Consider the following 25,470-nt stretch of genomic DNA (forward strand, 5'->3'; position numbering starts at 1 on the left):
AATTTCCCAGTAATGCTGCATACAACCACATGTGAATTCTTGGCAATTAGAGCAGCTTATTTATTCTTTGATGTCCCAGGTTTTTATTGGTGGTTAATCACATAGGCATGCAATGCCCACGTGGCAAAACTTGGCAAATTCAGCTTCCTTTCCATGATCCCTCTAGAACAAAACCAGGCATTCAGCATAAATCATATCTTAGAATAAATGTATCTGGTTAAATTGATACTACATGGTTCAAATAAATACAGCATGGCTCAGGGCCTCAGGCATATAAAGTCAGTCATTCACCATAAACCCAAGGCCTCAGATATACAAAAACACTCTTCACGGTAGGACTATTTCCAGAACTCAGAGGCTAGCTAGTCCTAAAAACAAACCTTACCTTTGAATGTGCAGGGTTGAAGAAACCCTGGCCTGCTGAGTTAACACATTCTTGCCTAATCCATATTTATTGTCCCTGGTCTAATCTCTTCTGTAGCAAAACAATCATATTTTTCTGAGCATCTACATTGAATATGGCATTTATATGACAGTAACAACAGTAATATTAACATGAATATGCCTAGCATTTTATGGTCACAGTGTAGGGTAAAGATTGATTTTTAAAAATTACTAATGCATCCTACAAGGCCATTACATACACTTTAATATTTTGTACAAATGAAATTACTCATTCCTCCTCTCAATCTGCTTTTATTTTTACTTTTTGATAAATCTGTCCAGAACTATTTAGCATTGAAATTAGATAATGGTTAGCTAAATTCTGTTTTCTCAGGCCATTTATTATTCACCCAGATTACATTCTGAAGAGGCTTTAACTCAATATGTTAATACATTTGATTATCAATATAAGCATTATATAACTTCTCTACATAAGATAGTTGAATCTTACCAACAATGCTAGTGTAATGTCATATTGCAGTATGATCATGTTACAATTCAGTTTTATTACAGAAAAAGTTATTATGAATGATAGAGCTATTTGTTACAGCTACTCAACATAATTGGTTCTTGTCTTTATACCATATAGTATTATAAATAAGTGTTATTACTACTCAGCATGATTTGATTATTTCTGGGTTTCTAATGGGTTGTGGACTTAGCCAGTCACCTTGTCTTAGTTCACAGGCCCTAATTGACAATGGTCTCTACTATATGCTGTCATACACCAGGATACACTCCCTTCCTATAGACAAGACACAAGAATAAGAATAGTTTATATCTCTGCTACCTGTACTACAGGATGTCTTATCCTTATCTATTCTTGGGGCAATGGCAATAACAATGAATTAATATAAGTTATGAGTGACCTCAGAGATGGGGTCCCTAAGATTATATAAATGTGTCCTTCTGCATCTAAGAAGAACCATTACCTTATGGTTATTTAGGCCTCCATCTGTGTTAAAGTGATAAAGTGATGCTATTGAGTCATAATACAAGCTCATTACCAGTGTTGGGTCCTAGCATTATCCATCATTAATTGTTGAGTCTACCTTACCAAGTTCACTAAAACTTCATCATTTTTTCCAGGTTGAATCCCCATCCCTTCCTCTCTCATAGATGAGAATTCCCTCTAATCTATTTATTTTAGTTAATAAATCTTCTTTCCTTAAAAGCCATTCATGATTAAAAATGAATTCAGCTTTTCTCACAATGCCTAGATCAGCATCTATCTCCCTGAAGGTTTTTTTCTGTTAGTAGGCCAATGCTTAACCCAAGAGGGTTGTTGTCATTGTGTACTAGATTTAACTGGAATGAGGAACCATGTTTTACACTCCAGACTGTTTGGTTCTCAGTATGAGGATAAAAATAAGAAAAAACAAAACAACAAACAAACAACAAAAAAAAAAAACAAGAGTTCTCTACAATTTTCGAGAAACAGAAGAGGAAGAAATGCTTCTCAATTCATTTTATGAAGCAAGCATGACACTTAAACAGAAGAAGACAAAGATGATAAAAAAAAGAAAAGGAAAACAAACAAACAAAACTTTAGACCAACATAACCTAGATGCAAATCTACAAATATACCCTAGATGCAAAATCCTCAACAACTTGAATACGACACTATGTAAAAAAGTGACACATGACCAAGCCATGTTTATTCCAGAAATGCAAGACAGTTGCAATATTTTAAAAGATCTAATAATATAGTTCATCATATTAATATTCTAAAATAGGAAAATGCATGAACAGTACAATAAATGCAGGGGAAAAAGACACTATTCAACAGTTACTTGTGATAAAAATTCAGCAAACCAGAAATAGCAGAAAATTCCTTCATCTTGATAAAGAGCATACAAAAAATCCATCATATTTAGCTGTGAAACACTGAATGTTTTCCACATGTATGCTCAGGAATAAAGCAAAGATGTTTGCTTTTATCACTCTTTTTCAACATAATACTTAGAGTTCTATCCAGTGTGTAAGGAAAAAAAGGAAGAATAAAATAAATGCAGACTGGAAAGAAATAAGTAAAACTGTTCCTATTTGTAAATAATATGATTATATATGTAGAAATTTATACAGCATTTAGGAGAGAGAAGGAATGTAGAAAAGGGAGAGGAAGAGGGAGGCAAAAACAAAGGGGAAGGAGAAAGTAAAAGAACAGTGGAAGGAGAAGCAGTGTCTCCTAAAATTAAGAAGGATTTAGCAAGATTAGGACAAAAGGTAAAAACAGGTTTCCTGATATTTTTAATTGCATTTCAATAGCTTTCCAAACATAAATATTTCTCAGGTAGTTGAATGCTTTGGTCAATTTCGAGAGTGATGGAAGGCTGTTTTAATGAATTTCTAGTGGCCTTTTGTGTAGAGGATTTGCTGGTCTTTGCAAGTGACCATAGTCCACATTGATGGGTTGATTGAATATGGAAACCATCTTGAACTCCCAAGATAAATGCCAATTAGTAATGATATATTTTACAAACACACGTGCATGCACACACATACACACACATACATGAGAGGATTTAATTGGATAATATTTTGCTGAAGTTTTTGAAATCTAAATTCATCATCTAAATACATATTTGTCTACAGGACATTTTCTTGTAATGTCGTTTTTATGGTTTTGGTATGGGGGTAATGGTAGACTCATAAAACATGTTGAAAAGTGTTTCCTCTTATTATTTTGAAATACGTCCCATCAATACCCAATTTATTGAGAGTTTTTAGCATGAAGGGTTGTTGAATTTTGTCAAAGGCTTTTTCTGCATCTATTGAGATAATCATGTGGTTTTTGTCTTTGGCTCTGTTTATATGGTGGATTACATTTATTGATTTGCATATATTGAACCAGCCTTGCATCCCAGGGATGAAGCCCACTTGATCATGGTGAATAAGCTTTTTGATGTGCTGCTGGATTCGTTTTGCCAGTATTTTATTGAGGATTTTTGCATCAATGTTCATCAAGGATGTTGGTCTAAAATTCTCTTTTTTTGTTGTGTCTCTGCCTGGCTTTGGTATCAGAATGATGCTGGCCTCGTAAAAAGAGTTAGGGAGGATTCCCTCTTTTTCTATTGATTGGAATAGTTTCAGAAGGAATGGTACCAGTTCCTCCTTGTACCAAATGCTCACCATCACTGGCCATCAGAGAAATGCAAATCAAAACCACAATGAGATACCATCTCACACCAGTTAGAATGGCGATCATTAAAAAGTCAGGAAACAACAGGTGCTGGAGAGGATGTGGAGAAATAGGAACACTTTTACACTGTTGGTGGAACTGTAAACTAGTTCAACCATTGTGGAAGTCAGTGTGGTGATTCCTCAGGGATCTAGAACTGGAAATGCCATTTGACCCAGCCATCCCATTACTGGGTATATACCCAAAGGACTATAAATCATGCTGCTATAAAGACACATGCACACATAGGTTTATTGCGGTATTATTCACAATAGCAAAGACTTGGAAACAACCCAAATGTCCAACAATGATAGACTGGATTAAGAAAATGTGGCACATATACACCATGGAATACTATGCAGCCATAAAAAATGATGAGTTCATGTCCTTTGTAGGGACATGGATGAAATTGGAAATCATCATTCTCAGTAAACTATCGCAAGAACAAAAAACCAAACACCGCATATTCTCACTCAGAGGTGGGAATTGAACAATGAGATCATATGGACACAGGAAGGGGAATATCACACTCTGGGGACTGTTGTGGGGTGGGGGGAGGGGGGAGGGATAGCATTGGGAGATATACCTAATGCTAGATGACGAGTTAGTGGGTGCAGTGCACCAGCATGGCACATGTATACATATGTAACTAACCTGCACAATGTGCACATGTACCCTAAAACTTAAAGTATAATAAAAAAATACAAAGCAACCTCTTATTAAAAAAAAAACAAAAGTGTTTCCTCTTTTTTATTTCTTAAACTTTTGTGTAATGTATAAATTATATCTCCTTAAATATTAGTAAAATTTGTCAGTTCGTTTATCTAGGTGGGTATTAATAAATTTAAAACAGATATATAGGGATGTGCATGTTATTGCTTTCTTTTTGAGTTTGCCTTAGTTTGTGTCTTTTGAGGGATTTATACACTTAATCTAAATTAACTAATTTACATTTATAAATTTCATCATGGTATTCATTTAGTTATCCTTAAACTGTTGTAGGACAACGGAAATGTTACTTCTATCATTCTTTTTTTGTAGTTTATTTGTTTTGAGACAGAGTCCCGTTCTGTCGCCCGGGCTTGAGTGCAGTGGCCTGATCTCTACTCACTGCAAATTCCACCTCCCAGCTTCAAGCAATTCTTGTGCCTCAGCCTCCCGAGTAGCTGGGAATACAGGCATGCGCCATCACGCTCGGCTAATTTTTGTATTTTTAGTAGAGACAGGGTTTCACTATGTTGGCCAGGCTGGTCTGGAACTCCTGACCTCAAACGATCCGCCTGCCTCGGCCTCCCAAAGTGCTGGGATTTCAGGCATGAGCCACCACCCCCAGCCACTTCTATCGTTCTTAAAATTTGTAAATTATTTATTTCCTATTATTTTCTCCTTAGTCTGGCCAGAGATTTAACAATTGTATTGATCCCTTCAAAGATCTAAATTTAGTTTAATTTACTTAGCTATATAATTTTTCTCCATTTAATGTTGTTTATTTCTTCATTAACCTTTATTATTTTCTTCTTTCTGATTGCTTCATAATTAATTTGTTCTCATTTTTATAATAACAAGTTGGAAGCTTTCATCATAATTTCAAGGTAATTTTTCTTTTCTAATGCAAGCTCTTAATGGGATAGATTTTTCCCTAAACACAGAAATTTCCACATTTTGATATGTTATACTTTTTAAAATTTCTCTTACTTTTGGCTAGGTTCATGTTTAAATATACATATGTGCAAGAATATTTTCCCTTGATTTATATGGATTTAGAGGTTAAAAAAGACAAAAAAATTATTTTGGAAATTTCTAGGAGACTTAGTTCACCATAATTGTTACATAATTGTGCATATGTTGCAAGTAATGTATTGAGAAAAGTATTTATATCTGTATACATGTTTGGTCCTTAATGATGAAATTAATGCACAGTTGTCTAACTATAATAATTTCCTTATAATCACACTGGTTTTCCTTTGGTGCCACAAGATGATGAATCTCACTTTAGTGTGACCAAGCAAAATGAGGTACAAAAACAGTCCAATCAATGTGAAAATAGCTCAAATTCATTTGAATTTTAAAAATATTTCATATGTAAATTAAATTAGAAATTAAATATATATAATATATTTTATTTCAGAAATATTTGCTTGCCTTTTGGAACTCAAAGTTCAAAACCTTCTATTGTCATCTTTAAATAACTAATTTTTAAGTTAATTTCTACTTGGTTATATGAAAATACTACCACACAATGTGGAGATAAAGAAAACATTTACAGAAAAATTGTCCATATGGACACATTTTAAACAGATGATCTAATTAGCATAATAGCCACCAAACTGGTAAATAAACAGTTTTGTTGATTTGCTGCTTAATCAGCATCTATTCAGAATTCTGTAATATTGTTTAGTAAAACAGTTTATTTCCATCAATAAATGTATTTTATAAATTTATGCCCAGTAAACTTCCAGGTAAACCATCGAAATACTAACTGTTTTCTACAACTGATGGTCTTTTTTTTTAAGCTGCTTTCTGTAGTGAATTGATGAGAGTGAATGAAGATTAAAATGCTTATTCTGTAATAAAAGCCAATGCCAGCATGCTGATATATAATCTCTATAGATCAAAAAATATTCATGCTTTATTCTCAGATTTTTAATAGTGGCTCTAAGCAGTCTTAAAAATTTATTATTTAGACAACTTATCCTATATTTTAAAAATATTTTCTTAGTATACTGTGGATGTTATACAAGTCATATAATGGATAGAGAATTTCTTACATAAATTTACAATATAATTTTTTAAATAAAACTTTTGTGAAATTATTTTCAAATGTTATAAATGTTAATGAGTTTTGTTATATCGGTTCCAATATTTCTCATATATGGAAAATGTCATTTTCCCTGGGAATTAATATTTGGAGCTGGTGTTTAAGAAAAACCATGTTTGATGTTGGAAAATGCTATGTCTGGTATAACTATAGATGTTTGGAAAGCAGCTCAGTTATGCTAAAGATAAAGAAAGGAGAGAAAAATGACAGAAGGGGAGGTTTGAACAAAACAAAATAATACCTGAAAATGTTGAATGGATATGTAATATTTGTGAATGTTTATGTTCTCTATTTCACCATTATTTAAACATTTATATTTTCAAAGGGAGACAATAATTATATTTTGAAATCTTTTTTTTTTATAGAGTGCTGTATTTTTTCTTTTCAATTTCAATTTGGTGAGCAAACAAAATCAGTCAGAATATTATACATAATTAGGTTTCCTTTTTGAGATTTGTTGAAACTCTTTATCCTTTATGTATGTATTTCAAGTAGTATAATAAAAAAGAAATATAAAATGATTAGATATACATAAAAGTATTGTAGATTATGTTTTTCATATTTTCTTTCTTTTAATGTATTTTGCAGATATAGCCATTCCAGATTATGATTTCACAAACTAAGATGATTCTCAGTAGGGAAGCGTTACTGCATGTCGTTTTCATCAAAGGGAGCTTAGTTTATTTGCCTGTCTGAATATTGACATTATATTACTAATTTACACATTGGGGAAAGGGTCAAGAGAACTCCAAATTTTTGTTGACTTGATATTAACCTGAAAGGGGAATGTTAATAACTGACAAAATATATCCACAGTAGTTAGACATCAAGTTGTGTTTATTTTTTTAATCTACTGCATATTATTGAATTATTTAGATGATAGATAGATAGATAGATAGATAGATAGATAGATAGATAGATACATAAATAGATTGATTTATTAGATGTACAGGAAATAGAATTCACTGGTGGGCATGCGTAAAGAGGGGGCAGCTCTTTTCTAATGCAGGGCTAGCTGCTTGTCCAGGGGCCCATGATTCCAGGGCTATATTTGGCCCCACAGCCATCCAGGATGAGTTGTTTCTCAGCCACCAAGTCTTAAAATGTATATGCATTAAACTTAGTAAAATCGCACTTCTTTGAGATGTGGCTTTTTGGGCATTCACTGAACTTGAATTTGGCCCTAAATAAGGCCTCAGTCACATGCTCCAGGGTTTGCAGCTTGGTATGGATGAACATGGCCAATGTGAACTCTGACCTCTGGGTCCTGAGGCTTTCCAAAGGCATACTACATCCGGTCTTAAACCTAGACTAGGGAAAGCACTAGATCCAAGACATAAATGTCCAATGGCAAAGGCTGTTGTACGCAAGGAACAGGCTGCTGCACACTACCTAGGATGCTGCTGTTTGCAGCCCTTGCACACCAGGCCCCATGTGGCTTAATTGATTGTAGAAATTATTTTATATATTAAGTTTTTGGCGATTCGTATCTTTTATTCAAGATAGCTAAATGTAATTTATATTAGACCATATACAGTAAGTTGTAAATTATAGAAGTTGTGCTTATCAAAATCATATTCAGTGGGCAATATGGCCTTTAATATAATGAAGTTTACTGGTAAAAATTAAAATAAAATAATGTGGTTTTGTAGTGCTCTTGTATGTCAACTAAAACAAATTAACAAAACCTATTGAAACCCATAATCATTTAGACTATCTACTTACACTTTGGGAGGCCAAGGTGGGCAGATCACCTGAGGTCAGGAGTTCAAGACGAGCCTGGCCAACATAGTGACATCCCATCTTTACTAAAAACACAAAAATTAAACAGGCGTGGTGGTGCATGCCTGTAATTTCAGCTACTCAGGAGGCTGAGGCAGGGAGAACTGCTTGAACTTGGGAAGGGGAGGTTACAGTGAGCCAAGACTGGGCCACTGAACTCCAACCTGGGCGACAGAGGGAGACTCCATCTCAAAAACAAACAAACAAACAAACAAACAAAAACACAACAAAAAAACTATCTACTTAAATACCATTCTATTAAAATAAATATTTTTCTGTGATCTTAGGTTTGTTTTGTCTCAATAATATAAATAGTGTATTGGTTGTCTCAAAGTGTTAAATGGAAGCATATTTTATGGCATTGCTGAAATATCTACCAACTTTTCTTACTGTAAGTTATGCAATGGTGCATTGATTAATGCATTGGAACTTGTTAAGCAGTTTGCATGTCTGAAAAACCAAGGTTCAGAGGTATGTAGGTTAAATCCGGCAATCAAATATCAGAGAGATATTTCAGAATATTATTTTTGTGTACCAGAAAACACTTTTCAAAAAAAAAAAAAAGTAAGGGCATTAGGAAGGCACTGTAAGGTTAATCTTTTCCAGCAAAGCTATTACATTTATTTTTCTGGAGTTCTTTAGTTATAAAAAGTAGAATGTAGTTATAGGATCTAGTCAGCATTAAATTGATTGAAAAAATGAAAAACACTGTTTCATTTTTAAATAGATTAACAATTAAGCAAGTTGTTTATGTTGTCCCACTGATATACTAGAATATGCTACATTCTTTTGGGCATCTTTTAGACCATAGGGCTAAAATGTTGAGAATGACAGAGAGACAATTAGGAGCTCAGCACAAAGCAAAATGTTATGAATCAGGAAAATAAATAGAACAGAGATCAAAATTAGATAGATGCAGAATTGGAATGATACTGAAAACAAGAGATGGAACTGCAGAAAATACTATGGCAGATCATTCATTCCTTTGAATGGTGAAAGTAGTTAATACAATGGCTAACAATTGAAATGAAAAACCAGACCCAGATGAAAAAATGCAAACCAGTAAACTTACCTAGTCCTATTATTTTACTCAATTGTAGGAAATACATGAAAAAAAAGTTGTTCATTATGAATCCTTTTTTCTAACATGGGAAGAAGTCACCACTAAACCTTTCTCATTTTTTTACTCAAATGTTTGTGTTTTCTCATAGAACTTATAATTTTAATTTATTTTTCAATATATGTTTCCCATACAGTCTAGTTGGATTCATAGTTGCAATGTTTCATGTGGTATATTTGCTCCCTATGGAACAGAACATAACATTAATCTTTAGATGTGTCACTAGAGAGATTTGTATATATCCACATAAATCTACAGTTGCAACTAGAAAAATTATCCTGTGAAAATTTTGTGACACGAATGTCTTTCAACTTTTTAAAAAGTAAAGAGAAAATGATGAACAAATATGAGTTGGAAATCAGAATGAACAAATCATGAAAATGTGTACCCCTTCAAAAATTTTGAAAATTAAGAGAAATCGGTAGAACAGCTGTATTATCATTTACAAAAATGCTTCTCTACCTATAGAACAAACAATTACTTTGTCCTCTAATTTCCAAATAACTTACAGAACATTTATTTCCTACTGTCACTGGAATGGCAGGCTGGCAGGCTGAGTTGGTAGCCCAATTGGTTCCTCACATCAAAAGATTCCCTTTATTATTTCCTTATTTTCTCTTTAATTCTGGCACTCCTTCATGATTGAACTTACAGATGTTCTTTTGTCTACTAATTTTCGAGTAAGCCTGTGCTCTCTATAACTTTCAGTCTTAATTTCCTTCTACCATCAGCCTTTTGTCTAAACATTCTTATTCTGGTTTGTTTCCCTGAACTCTTGACATCAATCTCTGTTCCTTCAATATTCTGTTTCTTCTACTGGAAGCATTCTTTCCCAGATTTCACCCACTTTACTCTTCTCAATCTCTGTGTCTGAGTTAAATACTTCCTTAGGTTTCTATGTAGGATTGTCTGTCCATCTGTAATTTTTCTATATCTCTCATGTTAACATACTTATATCCTTTACTGAAAAATGTCTCCTTTAAAAAAAAAATCAATGTGTTTGTTTACTTTCTTAAAATGCCGTCTTAAACTGCAAGGTCAAAGAAGGTAAGTATGATATTTGGATATTAATATCTACCACTTAATACAGAAACTATTCTAGCACTTGTATAGGCAGTATAAGACATAATTTTAGAACTCTAAAATAAAAACTCATAAACTGAAGTTAAATATCCATTTCCCACTGCTATCTCCTTTTCCTTTTAACACATTGATATCATTTGGATCTGTGTCCCCACCCAAATCTCATGTCAAACTGTAAGTCCCACTGTTAGAGGTAGGGCCTGTTGGGAGGCAATTGGATCATTGGGCGGTTTCTCTTAAATGGTTTAGCACCATCTCCTTGGTGCTGTTCTTGTGACAGTGAGTGAGTTATTGTGAGTCTGGTTGTTAAAAGTGTATAGCACCTCCCCACCTCTCACTCTTCTTCCTGCTTCCAGCCATGTGAAGTGCTGGCTCCCCCTTCACCTTCTGCCATGATTGTTAGCTTACTGAGGCCCCCGCAGAAGCCCAGCAGATGCATCATGCTTTCTGTATAACGTGCAGAACCATGAGCCAATTAAACTGCTTTTCTTTATAAATTACCCAGTCTCAGGTATTTCTTTAGAGCAATGTAAGAAAGGACTAATATAGAAAATTGGTAGAGGAATATGATATTGTTGTAAACATACCGGAAAATGTGAAAGTGGCTTTGAAACTGGATAGTGGGCAGAGATTGGAAGGGTTTGGAGAGATCAGAAGAAGACAGGAAGATGAGGGCAAGTTTTGAACTTACTAGAGTCTTGTTACATTGTTGTGACCAAGCTACTGATAGAGACACACAATGAAGTCCAGGCTGAGGAGGTCTCAGATGGAGATAAGGAACTTAATGGGAACTGGAGCAAAGGTCACTTTAGTTAGGCATTAGCAAAAAGGTTGGCTGCACTGTGGGTCTGCCCTAGGGATCTGTGGAATTTTGAACTTGAGAGTATCTCAAGTTCTGGTGGGTATCTGGTGGAAAAAATTTCTAAGCAGCAAAGCATTCAGGAGGTAAGCTCACTACTTCTGACAAACTATTTTGATGTGTGTGAGCAAAGAAATGACCTCAAACTGAAACTTATATTTAGAAGGGAAGCAGAGTGTAGAAACTTGAAAAATTTGCAGCCTGGCCATGTGGTAGAACAAAAAGCCCATTTTCAGGAGAGAAATTCAAGCAAGCTGCAGAAACTTGCTTGCTTAACTAAAAGGAAGGCACATGCTGATAGCCAAGAAAATGAGGGATACCCTCCAGGCCATTTCAGAGACCTTTGCGGCAGCTCCTCCCATCACAGGCTCAGAGGACAACGAAGGAAGAATGGGACACTACTACATGCATCTCATCTGTTGCAGCTCTAGCCATGGCTCCAAGTGGCCCAGGTACAGCTCAGGATGCTGCTCCAGAGGGTTCAAGCCATAAGTCTTGATGGCTTCCATGTGGCATTAAGCCTGAGGGTGCACAGAGTACAAGAGTTGAGGCTAGATTTCAGAGAATGTATGAACAAACCTAGATGTACAGTCAGAAATCTGCTGCAGGGTCAGAGCCCTGATGGAGAATCTCTACGAGGGCACTGAAGAGGGGAAAGGTGGGGTTGGAGCCACCACACAGTGTCCCTACTGGACCACTATCTAGGGGAACTATGAGAAGAGGGACACTATCTTCCAGACCCCAGAATGGTAGATCCACCAGCACTTGTACCGTGTGCCTGGAAATGGTGCAAGCACTCAACACCAGCCCTTGAGAGCAGCTGTGGGAGCTGAACCCTGCAAAGTCACAGGAGTGGAGCAGCACAAGGCTTTGGGAGCTCACCCCTTGCAGTGGTATGCCCTGGATGGCGTCAAAGGAGATTGTTAAGCTTTAAGACTTAATAACTTTCCTACTGGGTTTCAGACTTGCATGGGGCCCGTAGCCCCTTACTTTTGGCCAATTTCTCCCTTTTGAAATGGGAGTATTTACCCAATCCCTGTACCCCCATTATACATTATATCTTGGGTGTTTTTTTTTTTTTAATTTTACAGGGTCTTAGGCAGAAGGGGCTTGCCTCATCTCAGATAAGACTTTAGACTTTGGATGTTTGAGTTAATGCTGAAGTGAGTTAAGACTTTGAGGGACTGATGGGAAGGCATGATTATATTTTGCAAACTGAGAAAGACAAAATTTGGGAGGGACTAGGGCAAAATAATATGGTTTGGATCTATGTCCCCAACCAAATCTCATGTCAAATTGTAATACCCAGTGTTGGAGGTGGGGCCTGATGGGAGGTTATTGGATTGTGGAGTGGTTTCTTTTTAATGGTTTAATACCATTTCCTTGGTGCTATTCTTATGATAGTGAGTGAGTGAGTTATTATGAAATCTGGTTGTTAAAAGGGTGTAGCACCTCCTCACCTCTCACTTTTCTTCCTGCTCCCCGCTATATGAAGCACCGGCTCCCTCTTCATTTTCCCACCATGGTTATACATTTCATGAGGCCTCCCCACATGCCCAGCAGATGCAACATTCTTTCTGTACAGCATGCAGAACTGTGAGTCAGTTGAAACTCTTTTCTTTATAAATTACCCAATCTCGGGTATTTCTTTATAGCAATGCAATAATGGACTAATACACACCTAATAATATTATTTCCTTGAATCACGCAATCAATTAACAAAATCCTCTGTGTGAAATGGCTGGCTTCCTTTTATTGGTGGTTAACTGCTAATTAAACAATATTTTTGGCATTTCAATTTTGTTGTTATTATTGTTCAAAGCTTGTACAAAGCCTCCATCAAGTAGTCCAATTCTCCAGCTTCTGTCACTCCTGGACAACATTTGTATTTAAAAATACCTTTCAGCCAGGTGACACACACCTGTTGTCCCAGCTACTCAGGATGCTGAGGCGGGAGGAACACTTGAGCCCAGGAGTTCTGGGTTGTATGCACTATGCTGATGAAGTGTCTGCACTAAGTTTGGCATCAATATGTTAGCTTCCAGGGAGCAGAAGACCACCAGGTTGCCTAAGGAGTGGTCAACTCAAAAATTGAGCAGAATAAAACTCCTCTGCTTATCAGTAGTGGGATGACCCCTTTGAATAGTCACTGCACTACAACCTGGGCAACATAGTGAGACCCTATTTCTTAACAAAAAAAAAGAAAGAACTACCTTCCATATTTCTGCAAGTATGTGAGTTATCTTTGATGTAGTGTTACCTTTTCTCAGTGAATGAAGTGTAATAACCTCTTGTTCATTTTGTTTACAAAAATAAATAAATAAATAAAAGCAGGGACATTCTAAGTGGAATCAAGTTCCAAGTAATACAGACTTAATACTATTTATAGAATAATTCAATTTTATGATATATTTCATGTGTTGCTATCCTCAGTTATATTTACTCATGTATAGTTACATTTGTCAATGTCCTAGCTATAATCACCTATTTTTAGATTTTAATAAATGTAATTAAATTAATAGCATTTCTATTTTTATAACAAGTTCTAAAATTAAGCCACAGTAGAAAATTCATGATAAGATTAAGTTTGATTTTTATTTCACTTTTATATGTATGAATCTTAAGAATTTGGTATTTCCTATCTAATATTTGTCTTTCTGTTCTTGGAAACTAATTTCAAATTATTTACAAGTTTCAGAAGTATGCAGCCAGTGAAGAATCCAATATCATTTTGTTCAATATACCTATAATTTGAACTTAAATAAGTATACTTCCACAAATGTCACTGAAGCAAGTATTTCAAGTATTTATTTCCAGGTATAATTTCAATTATGGGGTATTCAGATATCTTGTTATATCAACAACTAAACATAATATATTAAATTATTTGAGATATAGAAAGTATATCTTGAAAACAGTGCAGTTGTAAATCTTTAAGGTAGGAAAGCAGCTCAGCAAATGTTTTCCTCCACTGTCCATGAGGCAAATGTCTAATGACTGTACACACACACTCACACTCACACACATACATACACATTCTGTCTCAAATATAGATATATATTCACACTCTGATTCAATGAATTCAACCTCATGACTAAGGATTTGAATAGTGTTTTTTAACCTTCATCCTTTCCTCTACTGCAATTTATAATTGAATTAGCTTACTTATTTCCTAGTAAAAACATTCCAGCATTGTGATACTATGATAAGGTTAAGATGTGAAAGTGTTTTTTACCATTTATTATAGAAAAACTATCTTATTTTCAGATTTATAAGAACCTTTTCAAATCCACCAAGGAAAAGTGTCTATGCCTTATAGATTGAAAAGCTCATCTTTACCAGTTAATTTACATTTTACTTTTTCCTAAAATATAAGGCTCTCCATATCTGTAGGTACACAGTTTGACTTAATTATCCTATGTTATATATTGTACATAATTATATGAGAGATAATGGCAATTTAAACAAATAAAATGATGGCTATTTCTTTTTATTAACTTCATCATATTTCACTGAGGTTTTCCTTACTTTAGGCTTCCTCGATGGCTGCAATGTATGCTAAAAGTAAATTTTTATGTGAAATGTTTAAAATATTTGAAAAAGATGCTTATTGTTTGTCAGGTTTTGCCACTGTTAGCATGACTCAGTACCCATAGAGTCTGTCTCTTAGGGATGTGAAGCAAATGATTTCTCTGATCCAAAACACTTCATATGCCTTAAAAGTCAAACAATGCAAAGATGTGATATTTAGAATACTAGTTACATAATAATGGATAATGACTTAGCTTTTAAAACAACTGCTTTAAACATGACACATTTAAAGCTAATTTGTAACTTTCATATGTTTCTGAAACTTTTACAGTCACTAAATAATTTGAGTAAAGCAAATGGGTTTCAGACCGATTACAATTTGGAAAGATTGATTATAAATTTTTAATAATATGTAACAAAGAAAAATGTGGTCACTTGATTATATACCTCTTCCCCAAGATCAAGTAAATACTTTATCAATAGAAAAAAGAAAGAAAAGCAAAAAGAAAAGAAAAAGAAAGCAACACTGCTATATAGAACATTTTTTTTCTAAATGGAATCCAGCAGCAAAAAAAAAGATAATTGAAGATACTATTAAAAGATACAATTTAATATTAATATTGACCACATTTATAAATTCACATAATTTTATAAAACATATGCACTTCTGAGTATAAAACACACATAATACAAAAAAGATTATTACATTTTAAATTGTTAAAATTTCCTCAATAGTTTTTCCACACCTGATGATTACTCTCAATCTCAACAAGATAATTATAAATGATGTTTATTATTCAAAATAGATTATTTTGTGTGTGTGTTTTATTCAATTAGGTGGTAAATTATAAGATTTTGCCAGGTGATTCAGAGAAGTAGCCTGGAAAAGTTTATATAGATGGTACTAAATGAAAGATAGAAAATTAAAAATTTATAGTTAAATTTATTAGAAACTTAAAATTCTTTAAAAAATTATAGTTAGGTAAATAAATCAACTAAATTTTTCCTTTTTCCTTCATATTGCAGAGTGTATTATTCCAGCCGGTTTACCATGCAGGCTTCCCAATTTGATACTAATTTTAACCTGACTTTTATATATCAATATTAAAGAGACGAAAAATAAATGTGATTTTCTCCAGCTCTATATCCCTCCAAGGAGAGCTTTGGAACTGAAATCCTAATCAGGGGATACATTTTTAATATTTTTGTCTCAAATGAATTTGGAGTCCTCCATAGTATTTCCAAAGTTGCAGAGCAGAAAAGAGGTTACCAATAAAATTGGGTAGTTCTCATCCCAATTACAGAATTAGGCCAAGTTATCAGATATGCAACAAATATCCACTCAGAAAGATTGAGTATTTAAATATTTTAATTTATGAAGTATTAGCCTATTGCTCAGTTAAAGTATTTTGGAAATTTTTCTTTAAAAAAATGTATCAAACTTGTGGTTAGATGACATTACTGACTCATTTTGCATCTGATCAAAACAAATAATGCATAAAACAAAGCAATGTAAGTTATAAAGCATTTTAAAATTGAAATAAGAGATCTTTATTTCTGTTGCATATCAAATGGGATTTATTGACTTCCTTTTCTCAAAAATGTCATATAGAAAACATTTCTACCCTCTAAAAATTACTAATAACATTAGCATCAATGACTTACAAGTAGACACAAGTAAGATGAAACACAGATTAACTCATACCATCAAATTCATATGGCCAAGTATAATCCCATTATATAACTATTTTCTATCACTAAGCATAGTCCAGCTATAAGTGTAAAAGGATGACGAAAAATGTTGCTAAAACATTAAGTGAAAATATACTGAAAAGAATCCCCAAAGACAAGAAATACAAGAACACACCAATTTGCCATCACACTTTATGTTCAGCCCTTTAGTGAAAAAAAAAGTTTTCTAATTAATATTTCATTTACATTGGGGACAAGTACATAATGTAGTCATCAATTTGCTTAGATTCTGAAATACCATTCATTTATGTACATATTTTCTCTATTCAAATGTACTATTCACATCACTTGTCAATTTGCATATATTAAATCATCATGCAAAATTTACCATATTTTGAGTATTTTATTAATAATGACCCTTTTCTACAATTTTTATATGCACTTAAATTTTAAACAGCCAAACATTCAAAGGCTTAAAAATCAACACTTGAATTTTAAAATACTATTTGTATGAAATGAAATATTTAATTACAAATGTTAACTATATGTTATTGCTGTAACTATTGGGATAGACAGTGGGCAGTTAGTATAAGCTACTTTGTTAATAAATAAAATTTTAAAAATAATCAATGGAATGTTCATTTCAAACTACTTTGTTATTTCATTTCATTTAAATTTAGCATAAACTTTACTTCGGCAGCCAATTCCTTAGTTGTTCTTCTCCATTAACTCATGACTACTTTAGCTCTTGATGCTAAGCATGATGATGTTTGGTTTCAGAAGTTGCCACATTAACAATAGGATCCTTCAAGCTACAATCATGCTAACCAATTTTGACAATTTTATATTTTATAGGGCCTAGTTCTAACATTCTATTGTTATTTAATTTTATAAATATTTTTTAAAATCTTGTTACTAAATTAAAAATAGACCTCTGGAAAATAAATCGAAAGGTTTTTTTGTTTTTTGTTTTTTGAGACAGAGTCTCACTCACTCTATCACTCAGGCTAGAGTGCAGCAGCCTGATCTTGGCTCACTGCAACCTCTGCTTCCTGGGTTCAAGCGATTCTGCTGCCTCAGTCTCCCAAGTACCTGAGAATACAGGTGCCCACAACCATGCCCAGATAATTTTTGTACTTTTAGTAGAGATGGGGTTTTGCCATGTTGGCCAGGCTGGTCTCAACTCCTGACCTACATGATCCACTCGTCTGGGCCTCCCAAAGTTCTGGGATTACAGGCATGAGCCACTATTCCCTGCCAAATTAAAAGTTTTTATATGAAAAAGATATACACAAAGCAAAGATACTTTCACAGTATGAAAGTGAATTATAATTGAGAAAAATATCTGCAGGCCGTAATAGAATAGTTCTATTTCAATAGTTCGCAAACAATTTGTTAGTTCTGCTGAATAAAAAAATTTCCAACACTTGTTAAAATGGTTAAGGATCACTTTATTTAAGATTAAAATGATAGGTGTCAAGATGATTCTAACAGGCAAGAGAGATAAGGTTCAACTCTGAACACAGCAAAGATATCTGGGAAGTGCAGCTAATGAGCAGAGTGAAAGGTTGTCAATGAATACAAATTACTAAGAGGAGACATCAAGGGTAGGGGATTTCTTGTTAGCTAACGTAAGAGGATTCTTGCTGAAGGCAAGCCAGAGTGATCAGATATCAAGAGTGGGAGATTCTCTCTAAACTGACTTAGCAGCATTCTTGCAACAGCTGGACTAGGCAGTGTAAAGACAGGGCCCAAGGACAAAGTAGAGTCAAAAAGAGTGTTCCTAGAAGCCTGACTAAAGCGTAGACAAGAAGAAAGTCTTCATCAGTTCAAAAGTCACTTTCTATACTTATGATTTGGCCATGAGCATTCCTATCTTTACTTAGTTTGGAGGAGTGGACTCAGCAGCATGTATGTTATGGGAAAAAAAGAGATTTGGAAAAATTACTTACATAAGTTTGAAAGGCAAGATGAATCTGGCCATATGGTAAAATCCAACAGAACTCTTCTGGTTATGAGTAATTTGTAAAATAATTCATACATTGCCCATTATATGCATTAGATATATGTAAATTTTACCATGCTTATTCTTCAGAACACAAAAAGTGAAATACAAAGGCAAACATGGTAAAGCAATTTATTTTAGTTTTTGTGAGTTGTTCTTCTAGAGTATGTTATATGACTCTATGCCCTCAGTTTGAAACTCTCATTGAACCATATCTAAATTAACTAATAAAATGAACTTTGAATTATATATGCCACTGTGTGCAAATTAACATTCATTGACTGTATGTGTATGTAAATATTGGCCAGTAAACAGAGCCATTTACATCTTCATAAAGAGAATAACACTTCCAACTAAAATTCCTTCTAAAATTGGACTCATATCAATTGGAAGTATTTCAAACAATTACTAAACTGATTTACTTGAACAAATATAGAAAATATTATCTAAGCTATGTGTACCTATTTTTTTATATTCCTAGAAATTAGGGGGAACTTTTATTTCCTTTGATTGAATATGAGTTTCTAACTTAACAAAATATATAATAGTGAGTCAGTAAAATGAATACTTTTACCAAGGATGGAAAGTGTTCTGAATTATCTAAAAGACATTTTCATTGCAGTTAACATTTGCCTGTGTAGATCAGATTAATATTAAAATCTATTTTTTTCTTTTAACAAAATTTAGCAAATGAGGAATTTTCTATTGGTTCATTTCTTCTGACATTTCTTCTATGTTGACCCTTCTCCCATTTCATGTTGCAAGATGTGAGATCTTACTTCATTTATCACATTCATATTCAAGGCAAACTAAATAGAATCGGGATGATAGGCTTGTACATTTATGCTTTTTTACAGAAACCTTTAGAGAAGTGTTCAGCTATACTGTATCTCACCTATAAAAGGTGGTTCACATTTCCAAATGGATAAAGGCTAGAAAAATCAAGAAAAAGAGCTGTCATGAGTATACGACAGCAAACATAATTTGGGGCTTAGACTCATGACCAAATTGAAGTTCTGTAAGTAAGAAATTAAGAGAAAATTAATATTGGGCAGGCAAAATCCATGTTGGTATATCCTTATGCATATAACTAGAAATATATTGCTAATTTTAATAAACTTACTTTCAAAAATGTATTCTGTGTTATTATACTTTAACATGTGTTCATTAACTGTGTGTGTTCCTAAACCTTGTCATATTTGGATATGATTTTTAGCAATAAATAGTGGGGCAAGATGAAAAATCTGAAGTTTTACAAAAACTAAATATAAGACAAAAACAATATATATTCAACTAAAAAGGAGTTGGCAACAAACTTCTCTGATTCTATATCAAATCCCAAAAAACAATGGAATATGTATCAGTAATTATTGACTACCATAGGGTAATAATAATAATAAATGGTCATAAAATAAATTAGTTAATGGAAAATGATAGATATTAATTATTGAATGATAAAGCACAATGTAAAACAAAATGATAGAAATAATCATACTCACAAACATAACAATCTGTATGTAGAAGTCTAGGTTTTCCAAATTAAAGCTGGTTACTCACAAAATCCTTGAAAAGAGTGAGAAGTTGGTGGGGTGATTATATTTTTAAGCTATGAAGTCAGATAGTGTGATGTTTCATCTCAGTACCACTATAAAATAAAGTTTTAATCCTGTTCATGTCACTCTTAATTTTCACTAGCTTTTTAGGTAAGGAAAATTCATGTCCATCCCTTCCTTGATTCATCTCTTTCAAAAGCAACATTTTAAATGGTTGATGACTTAACATCACTGCAACTATTTTCTCCTTCATTTAAGAACATAATCAACCATTTATGTGAGCATGTTTATTTTACACCTCAATTTTGGCTCAAGGAATATAACACATAGCGGTTTCTTTCTTTCATTTGCCATATCAAATCCATGAACACCTGCCTTTAAGATGTATCAGATTACTTTTACCTCTTACTAGCCATGTCCAGGCAACTGCCAAAGCACTGGATCATTGGAATAGCTTCATAAATGATGACCCTATTTCTCTCACTTTCATTCCTAGAGGCTGTTTTTCAGCCAGGAGTCAGAATGATTATAAAACATAAATCAAATAATTTCACAGTCTTGCTCATAGCTTTCTAATTGTTCCCCTTCTCAAAGTAAAACCCAAAACCTTGTCATTGTTTGTGAAAGCAACAATATGGGATCCTTCTCCATACCTCCCCCAATTTATTTTATCACAGCCCTCATTGTTTTGGTCATTCTATCCTTAAGAGCCTCCTGATATTTCTTGGAAATGCCAAGATTCACCCACCTTAAAAACCACTTTGTTTTTCTGTCTTTGAAAGAGACACGCGCTGTAGATATTTGCTTGCTACTCTACTTACTTCTAGACATCTCAGCAGAATTCTTTTGAGAGGCAGACAGTCACTCTGGATCTGCATTCAAATTTCACCCTAGAACTTATCCGCATGTTAATACTGCGTTTCTTTTTTTAATTTTTCACTGCCTTTCTCGCCCAAAAAGAAAGAACGTAAGCTCTTTTAGTCAGGGACAGCTATTTTTTTTTCTGTTTTCTCTTTTTCTTAACCTGGCATGAAGACACATTTCTGGCATAGAGCAAATGAATAATAAATATTTGTTGAATAATCTTGCATAAGTTAATCCTTAATTTGTCAACTGTTGATTCATTTTGCTCTGAAATCAATGACAATAAAAAAGAATTGTACTTCTATTTTGTACTTTTTTACTCAGAGTAAATATTTATTGAGATTTAATTTGTGCCCTGTAAACTGCTAAACTCCTAAATCCATTAGGTCTATTTCTCCCATGAGGTAAATATTTGCTCTTCATTGAGGATATAGCCAGCAAGGCAGAAACTAGTCTAGGACTTACAAACAATCTGATTTTATTATGTGGAGCAGGTAACATCGGGGTGAAAATAACTAAGAAACAAAGCAAGGAATAGTGATGAAAGTATTAGCACTAGCAGAGAACTAATCCTTTCCTCATGATAGTAAGGTCAATGGGAGAAACTAAAGTTCCAGAGATCCAGTAATGAGCCATTTCACAGTAGAATTACTGCTGGTGAGAAATGGGACCAGGGAGAAATATGACCTCTGATGTAGGTGTCATTAGAAGCAGAGAAAACAAACAAACGAAAACAGAAGTGGCCCTTCTCCTTGCCTTTTCCTGTCCTTCAATCTTTGGCTTTTGCCTTCCCTTGCCTGAATCTACCCAAAGACTAGATGACAAGGAAGCATGGGAAATGCAGATTTCTGTTACAGTGAAAAAATAAAAGAAAACTGCTGAGGAAATTGATCTGAGAGCAAACAAACTTTGATCAGCATATTAATATTATCATGTCATTTTACAGATTAAAAAATTCAAGTTCAGGGTTCGGGCTCACACCTGTAATCCCAGCACTTTGGGAGGCCAAGGGGGTTAGATCACTGGGTCAGGAGATCGAGACCATCCTGGCTAACATGGTGAAATCCTGTCTCTACTAAAAATACAAAAAATTAGCCGGGCGTGGTGGTGGGCACCTGTAGTCCCAGCTACTCGGGAGGCTGAGGCAGGAGAATGGCGTGAACCTGGGAAGTGGAGCTGGCAGTGAGCCGAGATCGTGCTACTGCACTCCAGCCTGGGCTACAGAGCGAGACTCCATCTCAAAAAATAATAATAATAATAATTCAAGTTCAGAGAGATGAAACAACTTTTTAAGGCAATCAGACTACAGATCTAACTGTCATTTACACTAAAACATTTTAGGAAAACAAAATCATAATGCTTTTGTGGTATTTTGATATTTCAAGAAAAATAGTTATATGTTTCGGTGTGTGGCGTGTGTGTGTGTGTGTATAAAATGATTCTACATTAAATCAAAAATTTAACTTAAAATTTTAAAGATAGAGTAAGGGCTGATAATAGGTTTACCACCAATGCACATTTTCAAGCAGTTAAGTGATTCTAATTAGTAAGAAAAAAACCTAGCAGTCCGTACCTAGCATATGGGCTGGCATATAGTTGGCACTCAGTGACCGTCTTTTGAAAGTTATTATGCCCTTGAGGCTGTTACAATTCCAAAATGAGATGGAGCAAAGTTTGTGATAGTTGTGATTTCACTTATAATTCACTTATAGGTGTTGAATTCTCAGTAAGGATAATCCAGGTATTTCACTTCCATTTATCCTTTGTAACATTTACTTAATACACACTTTGTGCTCTTATCGAACTTTTCTGTTATATTTTTAAAAGGTTTATTTGCCCTCCAGGTTAACTGGAGAAATAGTGTTTTATTCAAAGTTATGAAGAAGGACTTCCTCATTCTATTATTTCTACACAAATATTTATTACAAATATATAGATTACTTAAGTAGCTACTTATCTGATGACTTACAAAATGATTTGAGAACAATTTAAAGTTACGTGGTGTGCTTTCTGTACACATAACCCACATACTAAGTAATTTATAAAAATCCATAAAATAGGAAATTAACTTAAAGGTCACTAGGCTCTCAGAAGAATAAATGACCTTTGATGCTGGAAATCACTTACTATTTTTTTCAGGTTTTGCATAATATATTATGTATCACTGTTCTCAAGATATTTCTTATAAAAATTAAAAGAAAACTCACACAGAATGAACTGTTATAAAATATGTAAAATTTTAGAAACTCTCATAATTATATGAATACTTAAAGCACTGCTCTGGAAAAATAATTGAAAGATAAAAGGATATTTATCTTAAATGGTAGTAATTTTCATGTTTATTTAAAATAAGCACAGATAAAATTCTGAAAAAAGAATGATAAAGTGAACTCAGAGTAGAAAAATCCTTTAGTAGTGAAATAACAGGTAAAACAGGACTAAAATCTTTTAAATAATGTACTTAACTTACTTAGTTTTGAAAATATCATCATCATGTATAAAAGGCCATTTTATGTCCAGAGCAATGTTGGCCTTGGTCTAAGCCAAAATTCTTAGTAGAGAGTTTTTAGAGTGTTTGCTGTGGTAACATGTGTTAAACTTTTTTCAATATAGCCAATTCAAAAATTTTAAGTAAAATGTATGTTAGCTCTATTCTTACCTGCCATGCCTCTCAGATCTTATATCCTTATCTTATAACATCTGGCTGCTCCGTGATGGCCATTAAATCCCTGCTAGGAATTAGGAATCCATTCCTGTTTCAGGGTCCTCTTCATCACCTTCAAATTATTTATGTACAGTGTACTTTTGAAGGCTATACACTTTATATTTTTAACATTTAAAAAACGAATATTGATGCTATTTATTCACAGCTAAGTATATACACATTTAAATATTAATCCAATATACATGTATTTGGTGCACATTACATGCTGAGTACTTTTCTAGGCCCTGAGGCTAGAGCTGGGCACAACGGAGACAAGTCCTTGCTTTGTGAAGCAGAAAACAGATGACTTCCAGTAAAGTGCTAAGTTGTGCTTGGGAAAAATAAAATTAGAAAAGCAGCTAGAAGGTGTACTGGAGATGACAAGAAACTGAGAAGAGAGGTTGCTGTTATATAGAAAGGGCGGAGAAGGCTTCTAGCAAAAAGCAGCATTTTACCAGCTATCTGAAGGATATGTGAAGCCCTAAGGTCTTTAATTAGAAATGCTTTACTTGCAAGAGCAACAAAATATAAAATATTGATAATTTTGACAACAAATAACTTAGGATTTTCTAAAGAAAAATGACAAACTAGGTTGGCACCATGGTCTCTCACTTGTTATTTATTTTAAGTCTAATTTCTCTACTTATATAAAGGATGCAATTTTTGTTTGGTATATGGTTTTACTCAATATATGAAGATATTGAGTAAATATCAATTATTATTACAACTTTTAAAAACAAAAACAAGGGACAAAAGATGAGATTTGACTAAATCGTGACCATGTTTTCTTAAATGAGTGTTATCGATACACATTTTTTTCCAAATTACTTTAGTAAGTTTTATAATTTTAAAACACCTTAATGCATTCTAATTCTCCTCATTTATTGGAGTTAATATTTACTTTAATTAATAAAATTTTAGTCTATTTTTCTCTTTTTCGAAGACCTTTAAAATATGGATTTCACATTTTCACAAGATAATTTTTAGAATTTTTGTAAATATCCAAATGGGGTGCTTTCCTATTGTTGGGATATTCCCTTTTACTAATACTGCTTTCATATTCTCCTTTCTGTAATGTATCTTAACTTCTTTTGTTGCAGAGAATGTGAACAATATCTGAAACTATACTATGGCCCTACAAAAGTTGTCATGTTGTCTATGCTAACTGTTGTGCTAATTTTACTCTTTCGGTAGTGCCTGGTATAAAGTTTGGGTCTATCATGGTGATGTACTGGTACCTTACATATACCTTTGCTATATTGCACTTCACATACTGCCTTTTTCACAAATTGAAGGTTTGTGGCAAGCCTGCATTGAGGAAGTCTACTAGAGCCACTTTGTTTACAACATGTGCTCACTCCATGTCTCCGTGTCACATTTTGGTGATTCTCACAATATTGCAAGCTTTTTCACTATTATTATATCTGTTATGGTGATCTGTATTCAGTGATCTTTGATGTTGCTACTGTAATATGGGGAGAAACCACAAACCATACCTTTAAGAGATAGCAACTTAATCAATACATATTGTGTGTCTTCTGACTACTCCACTGAACAGAACTTCCCTGTCTCTCTCCCTCTCTTAGTGACTCCAATTTGTGAGACACAACAATAGTGAAATTAGGCCAGTTAATAACCTTATAATAGGCTCTAAGTGTTCAAGTGTAAGAAAGACTTTCATGTGTGTTATTTTAAATCAAAAGCCGGAAATACTTAAGCCTGGCAAGGAAGACATGTCAAAAGCCAACTTAGATCTAAAGCTAGAACTCTTGTTTTTAACAGTTAGCCAAGTTGTGAATGCAAAGAAAAAATTCTTGAAGGAAATCAAAACTGC

General features: G+C 33.8%; 2 pseudogenes; one reads left to right on the plus strand and one right to left on the minus strand.

The window, feature by feature from the left end:
* Window positions 1-7,801: 7,801 nt before the first annotated feature.
* Window positions 7,802-7,896, minus strand: LOC124900281 (uncharacterized; annotated as a pseudogene).
* Window positions 13,193-13,476, plus strand: RN7SL565P (RNA, 7SL, cytoplasmic 565, pseudogene; annotated as a pseudogene).

The sequence above is a fragment of the Homo sapiens genome, chromosome 9 (genome assembly GCF_000001405.40).
Source record: "Homo sapiens chromosome 9, GRCh38.p14 Primary Assembly".
Classification (NCBI taxonomy): domain Eukaryota; kingdom Metazoa; phylum Chordata; class Mammalia; order Primates; family Hominidae; genus Homo; species Homo sapiens.